Source organism: Homo sapiens, chromosome 4 (assembly GCF_000001405.40).
Source record: "Homo sapiens chromosome 4, GRCh38.p14 Primary Assembly".
In the NCBI taxonomy this organism is placed as follows: domain Eukaryota; kingdom Metazoa; phylum Chordata; class Mammalia; order Primates; family Hominidae; genus Homo; species Homo sapiens.
Genome location: NC_000004.12, coordinates 137,518,724 through 137,536,890, shown reverse-complemented (window position 1 = coordinate 137,536,890; position 18,167 = coordinate 137,518,724). Strand labels below are relative to the sequence as shown.

The 18,167-nt window shown below is 36.4% G+C and overlaps 1 protein-coding gene across 4 annotated transcripts, besides 1 other annotated feature; it reads left to right on the top strand.

Annotated features, from left to right (window-relative positions):
* Window positions 4,369–4,488: an enhancer, noted in NCBI's record as "active region_21908". NCBI's record gives its function as "activates an Ori minimal core promoter by ATAC-STARR-seq in GM12878 lymphoblastoid cells {active_cell/tissue: GM12878}" and the evidence as "EXISTENCE:reporter gene assay evidence [ECO:0000049][PMID:35858748]".
* Window positions 4,397–17,973, top strand: PCDH18 (protocadherin 18). Of its 4 annotated transcripts, none has more exons than NM_001300828.2 (4): window positions 4,397–7,289; window positions 8,074–8,159; window positions 8,250–8,413; window positions 15,195–17,973. In NM_001300828.2, the coding sequence occupies exons 1-4, from the start codon at window positions 4,803–4,805 to the stop codon at window positions 15,860–15,862; spliced, it is 3,405 nt and encodes a 1,134-aa protein (NP_001287757.1). In that variant the 5' UTR covers window positions 4,397–4,802; the 3' UTR covers window positions 15,863–17,973. The 4 variants fall into 4 exon arrangements, with proteins under 4 accessions (NP_001287757.1, NP_061908.1, XP_016863800.1 ...); NM_019035.5 differs by having other exon boundaries at window positions 8,071–8,159; XM_017008311.2 differs by having other exon boundaries at window positions 15,190–17,193.
* Window positions 17,974–18,167: the final 194 nt, after the last annotated feature.

Below are 18,167 nucleotides of genomic sequence, written 5' to 3'. Positions count from 1 at the left end.
TGGGATCTATTTTCATTTCCCAACCTTTGATCTTATGTTGATAAATTTTGTCTCATAAAGAGTTCATATTGTTTGGTGACTTTTCATTATTATATTCTTAAATCTATTAGTAAATGGAATAAAGGAAGAACAACATAGAGAGATGTAATGTGATTGACAAAAGGCCTAAGGTTGGTTTTTAAATAAAAATCTTATTTGACAAATTTTATATTTCCTTGTCACTACCACGATACATCAAATCATATCCTTTTGTCTTCCTGCTACAGTTTCACATGAAATTTAAAGAAACAACTGTTTAGTGCAAAAGCCTTGAGAACAGGCAAATAGTAGATGTGTATACTATCAAATATAAAAGAAAAATAAACACCTGGTAGACTTCTAATTGTATTTGTAGATATGTTTCTATGGTTTAGGGCCTGGAGGTATAGTTGAGTATAGTTGGTAGGTATTGGAATTTTATTCAGGAAAGCAGCAAGTTTTCAAGACCATCACAGTTCAATACTATTATTTTTGTCAATTATGTTTCACAGGTGACCTTTATAAGTCAAGATGAAGAGAGCTTTATCTTTTCAACATAAAATTATGTATGCATCTAAACCAAAAGTCTGAGAAGTACCAAGTTCTGCGGCTATAATCCACATTTTGTTCTTCTTCAATGAATGTTAGGAGGAAAACAGACACACACAGGTTAAGAAAAGGAAACTAACCTTTGTTGTGTGTTTACTGGGCCAGCCTTTGTGGAAAGCCCCAGTCATCGAAATTCTTAAAAGAATTTTTTAGAGTAAATTATTACTCCCACCTCATGGAGGATTATACATTTGCAGAGAAGTTAAATAATTTGTCCAGGATTACATAACTGCCAACTGGTGGTACCCACAGTTGTTGGGCTCATACAAAAAGCCAAGCAAGCTCTTTATCTTAAGCAGGTCTATAGTCTTGGAATTCCTTAACTTTACTAACCTTTGTCTGGAAAAGCCTTTGTCCCTAATTTCCCAGGATGCAGAGTAATTATTTAAGCTTGTTACAGCCATATGGTGCCAAGCAGGACCATGATTTTCTTCTATGTTTCACAACAAATGCTGTGAGGAAAGATTGTGAACTATACCAATCAATCAGAAGATTGTAAGTCTCACGCCATTATTTTGACATATAGTGAGATAAAAGTGAATATTTATTAACCTACCTTTTAATCTCATATGCTCTAATAAAATATAAATTAATAGCAAAAAATCAAAAAACAAAATACATATCTGCGTGTAAGGAATTTTAGTGACTTTCATCTTGTATTCCAGTACCAAAAGAGACACTTTGCTTCATGTAATGCAGATAAATTTGAGCCTTACAATTGAGTTCTATGTTTTCCTTCCTCTTGAATAGGAACAAAATCATTCAAAATTTAGAATTATAAAGCTTAATTTTCCTTAGAACAAAAGTAATAAAAGTAAATGGCATGGTGAAAGTGTTATTAGAGGTGAAAGGATGTATTGTAAATGCCGGTTGATATCTTTTATCTAGGTTTAGCAGTTTTCTGCCCAATTAAACTGAAGTGGTAAAAGGAGCTTCATAGATAAAATATGCACAACAGGATGGATGTATCTGCGATTTGCCTCTAGAAGCTTAGAAGCACTTTGCTGCTGTGCTTAACATCACTCAAGAGGGCACAGTCTTCAAGAGGACCCACTTCCTTTCTTTGGCAACAAAGACTGCCATATCAAAAGAGGGTGGACTTTAAGAAACATTCAATCAACTCTCCCTTACTGGTTATCTGAAGTTGTTTTAGAGGGTCTACCCCTTTTTCATGACTTCATCAAATTCCAGAAGGATGAAGTTCAACCAGGTCATCATTAGATAACAGCTAATAGAAGTTTATCAGTTTTTCTCCCCTGATATAAACCCTTTCATGGATAGTAAATAGTTTGGGAGATAGTTTTATGTTATCTTTTCAGGGATACCAAATGAGGAAAATTTAAATTGTTAGAACTAGTGATACAATATTACAAAGAAAAGATTTATTTTTAATTCTGTACTTTTGGGGAAAAAAACATAAAGAACAGATCAGTGCATAACAAGGATAAATCGAAAGCACATCACTTTTGAGTAGATACATGTGACTTCTCAGGAAGAGATTGGGAAGCTGAAAAGGAAATAATATGTGGTAAGGATGATATTGCAAGTGAAAAAAGCCACTGTTGGTGAAAGAATGCCAAGTTCTTTAAATACTTACTCATAGAAACATATCATTTTGGAGGATATATTATTTTACAAGTTATTTAATATTTCAGTAAGTTACAGTGAAGCTCTTTTTCACAATGATTATTTCTGTTCAAGCCCACTGTCAGAAATAAAAGAGCTTTTTATTATTTTTACTTTTTAAGCATAAAAAAAATCCGTATCAAGGTAATCAAATCGATTGCTCTTGAAGTTTTTTGGGGGGTAGACTTATCAAATTCTGAAAGAAAATTTTCCTAGAACTAATGGAATTAGGTTACCTTTGAATTCTCACCCCAACTTTGAATAGTCACTAATTCCTTTCTTTGCTCTTTTGGTGTTTGCAAAGGGGTTCGCTAAAGCCTGAATTGATATAATTATTGGCTCAGATTGTTAGAGATCTAGGCCAGATGGCTATGGGTTTCTAAAGTCCCCCTTGCTTGTGGTAGTTTTCCTAGTTTGCCTATAGGGTTTGGGGATCAGCAATTTGAAAGGGCTACAAACTTGTAAAACAGTATTATTCATGGGGGCAGAATGTTCATCAGCGTGACCCAGTACTAAATACATTCATTATAGGCATTTCTATTCTGCACAATTTGCCACACAGCACTGATTTCAGGAGGGGGAAAAAAAGACAATGGCTTATAAAATGCTTTTGAATGCCTAAAAAGAAGGAGAATTCACGCTGAGACTCCTCTGCTTTCTTTTTTGGAAAGAGCCTTCTTAGTGACTTTAGCTGAGCTCTGCTGAGAGTAAGCAAAGTGGAAAAATCAGAAAATTACTTTTTTTATATGTTTCTGGGGGGCAAAATAGACAGTGAGAAAAAATAAATGGAAAAAAGTGACAATGACATTCTGTGAAACAGCAAATATGCAAGCGGATGAAGACAGCTGAGGAATAAGGAAAAAGGTATGAAAAAAAGCAGCAAAAATGGAGCCACGATGATAAACTTAAAAGGAATTGCAGAGCAGAAAGAACATCATAAATAATCATATTTTCAAATAAGAATACCGTATCAGTTTCTGTGACCTGGATAGAGCACAAGCCTCCCATGATATTTCCTAGCATTTTGATGCATACAAAATGCAATTTTCAGCTCAGGCATTTGATTTGTCAGTGTAAACAACCTTTGGGGTTTTTAAAATACATATCTGAAGTGTTTTCATAAATAATGCATATATTATAAAAATTTGACTTGTAAACTATTGAGTCCATGTCCCCCCTGTATTCACTGCAAAGACTAGCCATGTATAGATAGTGCCTTTTGGTAGAAATTGGCATGCTAAAGCTTGCAGTGTCTTTTACCCAAGATAAATAGGATTTTTTTGAAGTACAGGACAAAGAAATATTACAAACAATTTTGCCCAAACTCAAGGAAAGAAATCATACAAGGTAGAACTATATTGTTAATTAGTTCCAAATTCTGAGGTGTTCCCTTAAGTCTTGCTAATTAAGAGAAATGAAGAGTGCAAGATAGCCCTTTTTTTATCTTCAAAGAATAAAGATGAAAGAAAACAGAAAATGAAACCTCTTTACTTGCTCCGTTCTTTAAAAACAGAGCCCCAAGAAAATCTGCTTGTGCTCCTGGAAGGAGAAAGGCCCAAGTATTTACAGAGGGAGTGGGGAAGGAGGTGGTCTGAGAAGCATAATTAGAAGCAAGTTTTCAAATTGTATTAAATTCCTCCACCAACAAAACGCACTTAGAGGTATTTTAAGTTAAACTAGCACTTAAGGACTATGAAAAGCAAGATGATTACATGTCTGTGGCAGAAGAAAGGGCAATTAAGAAAACAAGAAGAATTTAACGTGCCATATAAATAAAGGCGACCAGAAGTTGATTTAAAGTTTTTCTTCTGTAATTTGTCTCCCCTTTGTCATGGCACGCTCAGAGAAAGTGAATGCAGTAGATTGAAAGGCGGAGGGGGAGTGGGGAGGAAGAAGGAAGGAACAGGGAAGGACTGGCTCCCATCTCCTCCCCCAGCCCCCACCAGCCCATCTCCCCTTCTCTCCCTCGCGCACCCACCCCCGCCTTCCTCCTTCTCCGTCTCTTTCTCTCTCCCACCCTCCACTCTCGCCCTCCCTCCTTGGGTGACTCCATCAGCTTTTGATTTGGAAGCACGCTGATTGGCTGGAAGCGATTCAACACACGCTGGGCAAGAGCTTTGTCTGAGTTGAAGTGAAGTTGTACAGATTTTAGACTGGAGTCAGCAATCACGGGTGTTTAGTCTGCAGCCGAGCAGCTAAAGGGAGAAAGAATCGCTCAGGAAAGACACACTGCAGACTCCACCGGCACCCTGCAATAGATGGATTCCGACTACACAAGGGAGAAAACGCGGAGGTGACACTCTCCTGCCTGGAAAGAGGACGAACGACCAAACAAACGCAAGGACTGGACTCCATGCCGAAGGTATCTGGAAGTCGTGACACGGTGTGTATAAAACAAAAGTTTGCGAGCTGTTAATTGCTGTGCTGTGTTATTAAGAGACGCTTTCAAGTTTCAAGTACCAAATGTAGCTTTACGTTGCCAAAGGAAGTTGAGGCAATTGCTTTGCTGTTTTAACTTGCTCTGTGAGGGAAATCTCATAAACTGACCAATGCACCAAATGAATGCTAAAATGCACTTTAGGTTTGTTTTTGCACTTCTGATAGTATCTTTCAACCACGATGTACTGGGCAAGAATTTGAAATACAGGATTTATGAGGAACAGAGGGTTGGATCAGTAATTGCAAGACTATCAGAGGATGTGGCTGATGTTTTATTGAAGCTTCCTAATCCTTCTACTGTTCGATTTCGAGCCATGCAGAGGGGAAATTCTCCTCTACTTGTAGTAAACGAGGATAATGGGGAAATCAGCATAGGGGCTACAATTGACCGTGAACAACTGTGCCAGAAAAACTTGAACTGTTCCATAGAGTTTGATGTGATCACTCTACCCACAGAGCATCTGCAGCTTTTCCATATTGAAGTTGAAGTGCTGGATATTAATGACAATTCTCCCCAGTTTTCAAGATCTCTCATACCTATTGAGATATCTGAGAGTGCAGCAGTTGGGACTCGCATTCCCCTGGACAGTGCATTTGATCCAGATGTTGGGGAAAATTCCCTCCACACATACTCGCTCTCTGCCAATGATTTTTTTAATATCGAGGTTCGGACCAGGACTGATGGAGCCAAGTATGCAGAACTCATAGTGGTCAGAGAGTTAGATCGGGAGCTGAAGTCAAGCTACGAGCTTCAGCTCACTGCCTCAGACATGGGAGTACCTCAGAGGTCTGGCTCATCCATACTAAAAATAAGCATTTCAGACTCCAATGACAACAGCCCTGCTTTTGAGCAGCAATCTTATATAATACAACTCTTAGAAAACTCCCCGGTTGGCACTTTGCTCTTAGATCTGAATGCCACGGATCCAGATGAGGGCGCTAATGGGAAAATTGTATATTCCTTCAGCAGTCATGTGTCTCCCAAAATTATGGAGACTTTTAAAATTGATTCTGAAAGAGGACATTTGACTCTTTTCAAGCAAGTGGATTATGAAATCACCAAATCCTATGAGATTGATGTTCAGGCTCAAGATTTGGGTCCAAATTCAATCCCAGCCCATTGCAAAATTATAATTAAGGTTGTGGATGTTAATGACAATAAACCTGAAATTAACATCAACCTCATGTCCCCTGGAAAAGAAGAAATATCTTATATTTTTGAAGGGGATCCTATTGATACATTTGTTGCTTTGGTCAGAGTTCAGGACAAGGATTCTGGGCTGAATGGAGAAATAGTTTGTAAGCTTCATGGACATGGTCACTTTAAACTTCAGAAGACATATGAAAACAATTATTTAATCTTAACTAATGCCACACTGGATAGAGAAAAGAGATCTGAGTATAGTTTGACTGTAATCGCTGAGGACAGGGGGACACCCAGTCTCTCTACAGTGAAACATTTTACAGTTCAAATCAATGATATCAATGACAATCCACCCCACTTCCAGAGAAGCCGATATGAATTTGTAATTTCAGAAAATAACTCACCAGGGGCATATATCACCACTGTTACAGCCACAGATCCTGATCTTGGAGAAAATGGGCAAGTGACATACACCATCTTGGAGAGTTTTATTCTAGGAAGTTCCATAACTACATATGTAACCATTGACCCATCTAATGGAGCCATCTATGCCCTCAGAATCTTTGATCATGAAGAAGTGAGTCAGATCACTTTTGTGGTAGAAGCAAGAGATGGAGGAAGCCCGAAGCAACTGGTAAGCAATACCACAGTTGTGCTCACCATCATTGACGAAAATGACAACGTTCCTGTGGTTATAGGGCCTGCATTGCGTAATAATACGGCAGAAATCACCATTCCCAAAGGGGCTGAAAGTGGCTTTCATGTCACAAGAATAAGGGCAATTGACAGAGACTCTGGTGTGAATGCTGAACTCAGCTGCGCCATAGTAGCAGGTAATGAGGAGAATATCTTCATAATTGATCCACGATCATGTGACATCCATACCAACGTTAGCATGGATTCTGTTCCCTACACAGAATGGGAGCTGTCAGTTATCATTCAGGACAAAGGCAATCCTCAGCTACATACCAAAGTCCTTCTGAAGTGCATGATCTTTGAATATGCAGAGTCGGTGACAAGTACAGCAATGACTTCAGTAAGCCAGGCATCCTTGGATGTCTCCATGATAATAATTATTTCCTTAGGAGCAATTTGTGCAGTGTTGCTGGTTATTATGGTGCTATTTGCAACTAGGTGTAACCGCGAGAAGAAAGACACTAGATCCTATAACTGCAGGGTGGCCGAATCAACTTACCAGCACCACCCAAAAAGGCCATCCCGGCAGATTCACAAAGGGGACATCACATTGGTGCCTACCATAAATGGCACTCTGCCCATCAGATCTCATCACAGATCGTCTCCATCTTCATCTCCTACCTTAGAAAGAGGGCAGATGGGCAGCCGGCAGAGTCACAACAGTCACCAGTCACTCAACAGTTTGGTGACAATCTCATCAAACCACGTGCCAGAGAATTTCTCATTAGAACTCACCCACGCCACTCCTGCTGTTGAGGTAAGATCATAAACCGCATCAATTCATTGCAATGTTAGGTGTTAGTGTTCAGGAATTGTGTTTACTAGTTCTTAAATGTTTTCATTAATAAGTAACAATACTAATACTGTGCAAATTAAGTAGGATACAAGTTACATTGTGAATATGTAGCAAAGATGCACACTTTAGCATACTGTTTTTAGTTTTCCTTAAGTAAATAACTTCATATAATATGTGTAATATTGAAAAATAAATGTGAAGGTCACAAAGGACTATGTAATTAGAGTCCCCTTGCTTCCCAGATTAAAATAATGGGAAGCCAAAAAGTAGAGACTTGCTTTATTTTCAAGGTTATAGTCTTTACTGAACAAATAAAAAAACTGAGGCCTTCAGACTTCTATTTCAATGCATGCTATGTTTGTCCAAGTTTGGAAGATTTCCTGACATTTTTTAAACTACATGCATTGCAGTGTTGTATTTTACAGTATTTTCCATGTATTTTTACAGGTGGTCACTTTGTCTGAATTATAAAGAAAATAAATCAGTTATTTGAAAGGGAGTCTTCTTTCACAAAGTAAAAGTCAGTTGTATTAGGTCATCCAAATCTCTCTGAGATATATTTTAGTTATAGTTGGTAGCTGGCTGCGTGGTCCGCCACAGTCCAGCATTTGCAAATCTTTTAAATAGAGAGAATATATTCAATTACTTAGTTGAAATAGCAAGCAACTGTTTTTCTTGCTTAAAGATTGTGAGTGTTTGGAGGCTTGTTTCCGGGAATCAGTTCTGTCTATTTGGTTTCCAGCAGGTCTCTCAGCTTCTTTCAATGCTTCACCAGGGGCAATATCAGCCAAGACCAAGTTTTCGAGGAAACAAATATTCCAGGAGCTACAGGTATGAATTATTCTTGTGTTACCTATTAAGTTTCAACATAAATGCTGAAGAGTAAAAACTGTAATTTTTTTTTGTGATTTATCTTTCCAGATATGCCCTTCAAGACATGGACAAATTTAGCTTGAAAGACAGTGGCCGTGGTGACAGTGAGGCAGGAGACAGTGATTATGATTTGGGGCGAGATTCTCCAATAGATAGGCTGTTGGGTGAAGGATTCAGCGACCTGTTTCTCACAGATGGAAGAATTCCAGCAGGTAAGAGGGTAGTGATAGAAAATCTTTATTTTCAGGTCTACCGTGACACCAGTAAAATGAAAAATTTCTCTCATGCTTATATTTCTTCTTTATTTGTCCCTTGCACTAAAGTATTTATAATATGTTTTATAGTATGTTCATCACTGTTTAGTAATGAACAGAAACTGAAACATTTTAACACTGTTTTCTTAAATTTCATTAAGCGGTTGGAAGAGAACGAGTAAGCATGACAGCTTCATAGGACAAGAAGAAAGGGGTGGGGAAAAATCAAAAAAACAAACACTTTCCCCCTCTTTCCACCTCATCCGATACAGCCATAGAACACGGTTGTGTAACTCTTTGCAAAATTATTGGGTGGTGGTTTTTATTCAGTTAAACTGTTTTGGCGCAGAGTGGTGAACCGGACTGTAATTTGGAGGATGCATTTCCTGTGATGGGCACCAACTCACAAAATCAGAGACTAAAATACACTGGAAATTGTACACTTCAAGCATTAAAAATAGGAGAAGGAATGCATCTTTGTAGGTGGTAAGCACAGAATATTTTTGCCAACATTTCATTTTGCTATAGTAGAAGAGGCACAGGGACCCAAGAGTGGAATTTTTAAGTACACAGCTAGATAGAAGAGATGCTATTAAGTTTCGAACCACGTTTTCCTTGGAGTTCCTTCCCTCTAATTCTGCAATAGGAACTCTCTGAACTGACTAAATACTGATTATATTATCCTAGCAGCCCCACTACTAAAGACTGCAATATTAAATCAACCTTAGGAATACGTGTGTTCTTTTGGCTACCTATATTTCCAAGTTTCACTGAATGTGGATCATTGACTGCCATTTGATATATGAAAGATAGAACAACACAATATCACCCATCTTAGTTTCATCGCACCTCTATTTTTGAATACAGATAAGTAAGAGAGTTTAGGAAATAAACATGAGGGAGCCTCAGACAGCTACAGGAATTCAAGAAAATCAATATAGCTGACATTCCGTATCAGCAGGTTCCACATCCATAGATTCAACCAACTGTTAATTGAAAGTATTTGGATTAAACAATAAAAAATAGCAATACAACAATAAAAAACAATACAAATAAAAAACAATACAGTATAACAACTATTTACATAGCATTTACATTTATTAGGTATTTTTAGTAACCTAGAGAAGATTTAAAGTATTTGGGAGGATGTGCGTAGGCTGTATATAACTGCCATACCACTTTATATAAGCAACCCAATTTTGATATCCACAGGGGGCCTGGACCAATCCCCTTTGGATACCAAAGGACCACTGTGAATAGAAACTCGAGCACTCATAAGTGAAGTAGTGATGGCAGTAGCCAGAGCGGTATTAATATTAGGAATAGTAGTAGCAATAGTAGTTACCAACTATGCCCCCAGGTTTACTCCAGGCTCATGCAGAGTTTGATACCTGCACTGCCTCTCCTAAGGCTTTGGCAGGAATTAGTAGTAGTGACAGTAGTAACAGGCTTCTATTTTTTTTTTTTTTTTTTTTTTAAGATTTGGAAACTGAAAGTTATAAAGGTTAGAAAATGCATCTCAAATCAGGCAGTTTGTACATGGGAGAGTGAGATTTGGACCAATCCCTGCACTCTTAAACACTAATCTATCAAGTATGTGAAGTAACAGGTTTTTGTTGTGGTAGTAATTGTTTTTAAGTAGAGTGTCCTCATTGTTCTTATGTTCTAAAGACTTATGACATACCCCATAACTATTAAATGTTGATTATTTAATTCTGTTATCACAGTAATAGATGCTATAATATATCTCACAGGATGAACGTATGGGGGGGACTTCGAGAGACAATAAGGCATGCCGTGTACCTGAGAGCCTGTTTGCACAGTCATGGTGTCTGTTTTTTGTTTTTGTTTTTAATGCATAGACTTTCTTGACCAATTTGAAGAGAAATCTCTGAAAATTTAGTGGAATATATTTAGAATCAGACACTTTGCTCAAAGAGAATCAGTTTTCTTATTCGTACTTGTGTAATAAAGGAGTTGGCTAAACTACAATTCTGTGATCCTGACAGAACCCTAATTTTGAGTATTAATCCTTGATTTTAAATAATGTAATTTCATTTCATTAAACAGAAAAGTAACATAGTGGGCATGACATCAATATTGTATTATATATTTTTAGATTTGTATAATGTTTATTCATTGAAATTTAAATTTATCAGCATACTTAACTGAATAGCTGCTCTAATTACATAACCTTGGTATTTTGGGGATTAAATGATCCTAAAGTCCCTTTTAATTCTGAAATTGTAGAAATCTAATAGCTAATTATAAAGTTTTTTTTAGGTCAAAGTTCTTTTACTTTTTCTTATATTTTCTAAGTTGCCACCTCCACGTAAGTTTGTGGCAAGAAAGTTTTCTAGCACTTGGAGTAAATAATAATAATAATAATTACAATAATAATAATAGATGTTAAGGAATAAAGACACTGGCGAAACAATAGGTAGACATAGATAAACTGTAGAAAACTGAATTGTGTTTAGTGAGTGACGTTAAGCTTCATCAGTATCACATTTCTTTTCAAAATTAGGAGTTCACCTTTATATCATCATTAATAATTCCACTTAACATGAGACAATTTTTAAAAAAAAATCTCATATTTGCACAATCACACTTAACCATGGGTGTGGCTGGAGAGTTATTTTGCTTGTGCATAACATTGTGTTACAACAAAATACATTATAGTAGATACAATTCTGCCTTACTAGGTACCTGCCTCCATCTGAGGTGTGGTCAAAGCTATCCTGGAGGTATCGAGCACCAGGAAGTCACCAATGGTCCGCAAAGTATATTCATGTTTGGCTACTGTAGACTGCAATATGCATACTGTGTATCTATACAAAGATAACTATCCCTTATTTATGAGTATAATTTTGATGACACATATTCCAATTTATTATTTACCCCAGCAACTTCTGGAGGCATAATAGGGTGTAAAACTTGTGTTTTGTAAATTTATATTCCCAGAAAATATCCCAAGTAGAGAAAAATGTAAGTCCACATCTGAATGCCATTAAAAGAGATCAGCACAGTTTCCATAGCATTTATATTTCTAGGACTAAAGTGTCTTGTTCCAACTGTTTTTCTGCCTTAGACTTTGAACAAATATAGATTATGTTATGTTGCATTGCCTGCCAACAGGGTCATTTCTGGTCATTCATGCTATTAATTCCCACACAAATATCCTGCATTTTGAGCAGTCAAATTGGTATGCATTTTTTTGTCTGTTGGCTCATGTTTGCCAACATACTTTCTTACTCATTCAACTTTGAACTATAACACTAAGCATATGCCTGCAAAAATCCCCATTTTCCATTGCATTCACTTCACCAGGATGATTTATACAGCCGTTTGATTTTGTTTCTTGTGACGCTCATTTTTCTTGATTGAGTCCAATCCACTTTTCATCAGTCTGTCGTCTCTGATTACTTACTTTAAATATTCTTTTTAAATTCTATGTTCTGTCCTTTCTCATGGCAGGTATCCACGAAAGCCCATCTGTTCTGGCCTTTCTTCCATGACAGGTTTAGTGTGTCAGTGTGCAAACTGATATTCACTGTCTAGTAGCTCCTCCCTTTGTCAAATCTTTCTTTCATACAGCTTGAACAACATTTTGAGAACATTTTAATCCACATTTTTTGGCTCAAAATCAATACTTAACTCTTGTTGCCCAGCAACATTGAACTAAACTATTTATCTTGGCATTCAAAGGGCAATGGAATCCCCTCTTAGCTTATTAACTCTCATATGTTGCCATCTTTGTATCTTTTGTTATAGCTAGAAGCATCTCCTCACTTAATACACTGATGCTTTGCTCATGGTGTCCTTCCTACCTGAAAAGCTGGCTTCTCATCACTTTGTGTAACTGAATCCTATTCATCTTTCAAAGTTTGTTTTAGGTGGCTCTTTCTTTAACTATTTCAGCTTCCACCTCCACTCTTTTTTCCTTTCTTGACATGCCCTTAGCATCATCTAGTTTGACACTTTACCTGTGTTTACGATGTCACTTGCTACACTTTACTTAGAGCTATATCTTTTTACAACTTTTGAGGGCAGGGTGCTATTGTTGCACTTCACATGCAGCAGACTCATAACGGATAACTGATTGATCACCTGATGACTTGACAGAAGCAAGGCATACGTATTTCTTCTTATATATCTGCTGCCTGTCCCACCAATAAGGTGCAGTGCAGTGACAAAATTCATAGTCTTATAGTGGTGAAGAAGATACTCTCCTTTCACCATGGTCCCCCTCCCCAGAGGACACTTAACTACCTATAAGAGCTTTCAAGGAGCAACAGAAAGATTAGCCACTTGCACCACTTGTCAACAAGCCCTGCTAACTGGGATATAGTATGGAACATTTGTGGCACTGAATTACTTACAGATTGAGAATGTTTTCAGTCAAGTCCCTGGGGACAAGGTTGACAATATCAATGAGGTTGCAAGAAATGCCCTCTTCTGCACCGTTACTCTTCCATTTCTCTTATTTTTGCCATCCTTCCCTCCATTAGTCTTTTCTCATCAATTTTTCTTATTACTTTTCATTTTTAAGTTAATTTATTATTTTATAATTAAAGCTTCACTTATTTATTGGGATGAAGTTGCAAATAACATTCACTGTTTAAAAAATTTCTATGACCAAACTTATTTTTGAGCATGAACTTTCAGATTGCATTAGTTACCTAGATTGTATTTTTGCATTGTATTGTTGGTTATATGTTTATTATATTTAGGTCTTTAGAAAACTAGGTCATTTTCAGTATTCTTACAAGCCTTTCCTTTCCCTCCAATCATTAAGCATTAAACTAAAGTGAATCAAACAACTAAGTCCTTCCCAAGCCTAAAACTACAGAGTTAAATGAAATAAATGAAGAGGTGTCAGCAGGTCTGTTCTTCTTCCTTCTGACAGGATATGAGTAAGACAATAGAGACAGGTCTAAGTTCCATTTTCAGAGACCTGCGGAATTAAGAAGGAAAAAAAAAATCATTACCACTATGATTGTTATTTTGCTGCTGAGAAAACCTCATTGCTATTAAGTTATTCCAATTACTTTCAACCCCTTTTGTTTCATCCACATCAAATTAAAAAAAAAAAAGTTGGTAAACATTTCCAAGTAGTAATACTGCATGAAGTCAGGAAATCTAAAAAAGCTTTTATTCTTAAATCATTCTTGCTTATTTAAATGTAACCTTTCATAACAAATTGCACAATTTTTCTTCATGCTTACGCTCTTTCTCTTTCCCCACCTTGATTCACATGGAATTGGTGTTGACACTTTCTCCACTTTTTTTCTGCTTCATTGTATTTCTAGTTTTCTAGTGATTCAGCTTTTTTCTCACTCATAATACTTGATCTCATTTTATTCCTCAAATTATCCTCCTTTTCATTAAAACTTGAGGTCCATATTTGGGACTCTTGCAGTTTAAGAACAGAATTATCTCAAAGATTCAAGCAGAGAAAAGCAGCAATTTCTACGCCTTCAATCAAAGACCATTACTTCTTTTTTTTCAGAAAGTCAACATTATTTTCTCCATGTTTTATTTAGAAAACATGTAGTGAATACCTACTGTATGCAGGCACTTTACCAGTTGCTAGTGACACCGCAGTAACTGCAATAGACAACTTGTTTCCTCTAATAAGGGAATGGGCATCCTTCAAGAGTCACCTTTTTAGCAATAATTTGGGAGGAAGAGGAATCTTCCTAAAGTAGATGGATCTACAAAATTAGCTCTTAATATATAAGTATAGCTAGTAACAACCTAATGTTCTTTTAAATCTAAGAGAATTATTTTGCATTTTCTGCATTCTGCTCTTTGCTCTAAAATGAAATCATAATACTGAACAGCCTTATTTCTCACTGAAATAAGTCAATGGTTTGTAGAGTGTATTTTACATCTTTTCATTTCCTTGTCATGCAGCTTAGTTATTGTATTTGCCAAATGTAGAGGGGTTTTTTCCTCTTTATTTTCCTGCTTTTCTCATATCATCTATTTTTTTTCCTATGACTGTGGCCACTCATATTCCCATAAGAGCATTAGAACATCTGTAAGACCTAAGGAATGGATTTTTCATATTCTTCATCTTTTGATGACATTTTTCACATATTTGAATATAAATATATTTTGAATCTTTAAAAGAAAACTTCTTAACAGGGTAATTGCAGATGGCCATCCAGTAGCTGAGGATACTTTTCACTGCTGTGTTAAGTAACAAGTCAATAAATAATTTGTAATATCTTTAAGAGAGATTAATAAGTATAATTACCTTATAGCTTATTATATTCTCATTGCTTCCATTAAAACTAAAGTAATATTGAGAAAGTTACACAAAGGTATGTATTACACAAGAATTAATGGGTGGCATTCTAAAGTTATAGGTTTCACCTTACAAGTCTGTTCTTTAGAATTTATGTTCAGCACTTATTTCATCACTCACACCTAGTTCTTCCCACGTATACTTTATCAACCCATCTTATCATTATTCAAGTAGCAGAATATTCTTACCTGATCAATAAGGAAAAAAAAGCACACCAGAAGATAACACTTATGGAGGTCTATAAAACCAGTGTTCAAATTAAAGCCATAATTGTAGTCCAGCTTTTGTGTATAATAATAGGTTGGCATCATGGAAATAGTTTAAAATTGTCTCATTCTATTTTTATTATAAAATTGCATTTTTGCATCATTTTGAATCGTGCTAAGTATAATAATGAATCCCCACTGTTTTTCTTGAGTGCAGCTATGAGACTCTGCACGGAGGAGTGCAGGGTCCTGGGACACTCTGACCAGTGCTGGATGCCACCACTGCCCTCACCGTCTTCTGATTATAGGAGTAACATGTTCATTCCAGGGGAAGAATTCCCAACGCAACCCCAGCAGCAGCATCCACATCAGAGTCTTGAGGATGACGCTCAGCCTGCAGATTCCGGTGAAAAGAAGAAGAGTTTTTCCACCTTTGGAAAGGACTCCCCAAACGATGAGGACACTGGGGATACCAGCACATCATCTCTGCTCTCGGAAATGAGCAGTGTGTTCCAGCGTCTCTTACCGCCTTCCCTGGACACCTATTCTGAATGCAGTGAGGTGGATCGGTCCAACTCCCTGGAGCGCAGGAAGGGACCCTTGCCAGCCAAAACTGTGGGTTACCCACAGGGGGTAGCGGCATGGGCAGCCAGTACGCATTTTCAAAATCCCACCACCAACTGTGGGCCGCCACTTGGAACTCACTCCAGTGTGCAGCCTTCTTCAAAATGGCTGCCAGCCATGGAGGAGATCCCTGAAAATTATGAGGAAGATGATTTTGACAATGTGCTCAACCACCTCAATGATGGGAAACACGAACTCATGGATGCCAGTGAACTGGTGGCAGAGATTAACAAACTGCTTCAAGATGTCCGCCAGAGCTAGGAGATTTTAGCGAAGCATTTTTGTTTCCATGTATATGGAAATAGGGAACAACAACAACAACAAAAAACCCTGAAAGAACTGGCATTGCCAAATAGTTGCATTTATCATAAATGTGTCTGTGTATATTGAATATTAAATACTGTATTTTCGTATGTACACAATGCAAGTGTGATTATTTTAATCTGTATTTTAAAAATACATTTGTACCTTATATTTATGTGTAATTTAACAAACAAATTTTATTTTTTTACTCCCATGACAGACATGTTTTTCCTAGTCGTGTAGAAACTAGCCACTGTTCAAATCTGATACACTATTCAACCACAAAGTGTAAAGGCACTGCTTAGATTAGTTTTGTTGGGGAAGAATTATTATGTTGTATGAACAACCCCACTGAAGCATTATACAATTCTTAATTCCATTAAGTGATCCCACTTTTTTTCAATAACTTTTTAGAAATTAAGAATCATTAAAATTGTTAAGCTATTTTATTGTTATTTTCTCTACTTTCTACTAGCCCCAATAGTTGAACTCTTATAGGAAAATCGAAAGATAAAGTGAAAGTTTATTTCAGGACTGAGAAATATCTTGAAGGTTATTTATTAGATGACTATCTCAAATGAACTTTTTATAGACAATGATGAAAACAGAATTAAAGTCAATGTTTCCTGACTCCCAGGCCCCTACTATTCCAGGCCATCACACTGGCCTGTTCCGGAGAATATTTCTCTCACAATATTATTATCTACTTATAATTATGGTAAACAATAAATTTTATTCCATCCTTGTAGTATGAAACATGCTCCAAGGAAATGGAATCTGTCCTTTAAATGGATAACAGTATGTGTTCTAATGGCATAAAATATTACTGGATAAAAACAGTTGTGTCAGTGTCTCTCCTAAGGTAGTAAATATAATTGACTTATTCTGAACCCATTCTATTTTGAATCTCCCCTTTCCTCTCACAATACTTGAACATTTTAATCTTTTGGAATATTGTCTTTCTTTGTTATAACTATTCATTTTTAGCTTTTGTCTCCAGTGCATGATCTCATATTTTTGCTTTTATTTTTAGTATAAGAACATTTATAAAATCATATTTTTGTTACTGCAATTGTTTTATTTGTTGTGTGGCAAATGAGAAATCCTTTATTTATTGTGCTGTGATCTCTCTGTGTGGAATGCCTTGGTGAGAGAGATGCTTATTATGACTATTATCATTTCTGACCAAGCTTCTATTAATGTTATTTCTAATAATACACTATCTTGATTGTACTCTCCAGAAAATTTTTCTGTCAGTGAAAATAAAAGAAAAATTAAAGTAAAGCTAAGGAACTGTCTATAAGTCAGAGTCCTGTTCCTACATATTTGTTCAAAAGCTTGGCATGCAGCAGGCCCTTCCTGAGCGGGTGATTCAGTGTTGAGTTTCAAATAATAAACAGGCAGCATTCAGTTGGCTGGGCGAACAAGAAAAACACAATGGAAAAGGAATGAGTTTGAGACTTGTAATGGGAATGAAAGTAGTAAGCCATATTCCAGCTAAATAAGTTAAATGCATTTGGGGAATAAAGAAAAAAGAGTAAGCAAGCAATAATTGCTTGAATATTTTTCAAATTACAACAAAAAAAAATACTTTCTTAGGACATTTTGTATTAAATTGTGCAGGATAAAAAGGTATCCTTACAATGTTTCCAGGAGGCAAGAATATTATCGTCCCTGGCTTGCTAGTCAGGAATTGAAACACTGGGAAAGTTAAGTAACTGAAAAGTGACTAAAATTCAGATATTTGAATTCTCAAATGAGTACCACATTAAATAGAATATATTACCTCTTTCAACAGGCACATTTTCCTTTATAGGAGAGATTGCAATTACAAGTGAAATTTCAGTATATTTTTCAGTAGATTACACACACAAACGCTAACCATATTTAAATGCATTCTGCCTTTCAACTTCACTTCCTTTCAGTATATATTACCATTAAGAAAAAGACTTTTATATCCTCACTGTTCTTAATTTAAAGCACCAGCAGTAATATGGGAAGCTATGCTGAAAACCGCTATTTTGAATAATGTGAAATAAATAAAATGCAATATTTCATTCAACACAAAACTTTTGTATATTGTCCATATTCCAAGAATTTCATGTCTCAAATTCCCTTGTTTCTCCAGCCTTCTCCATTTATTATTGCTTCCCATGTCCACAGATTAAGAGAATATAAGTGCAAGATTTCAGCTTTTTGCTTCTGTTCCTTTCACCAAGTAACATCCTTTTAGTGAAAGCTGGGATGTCTGATGCTATCATAG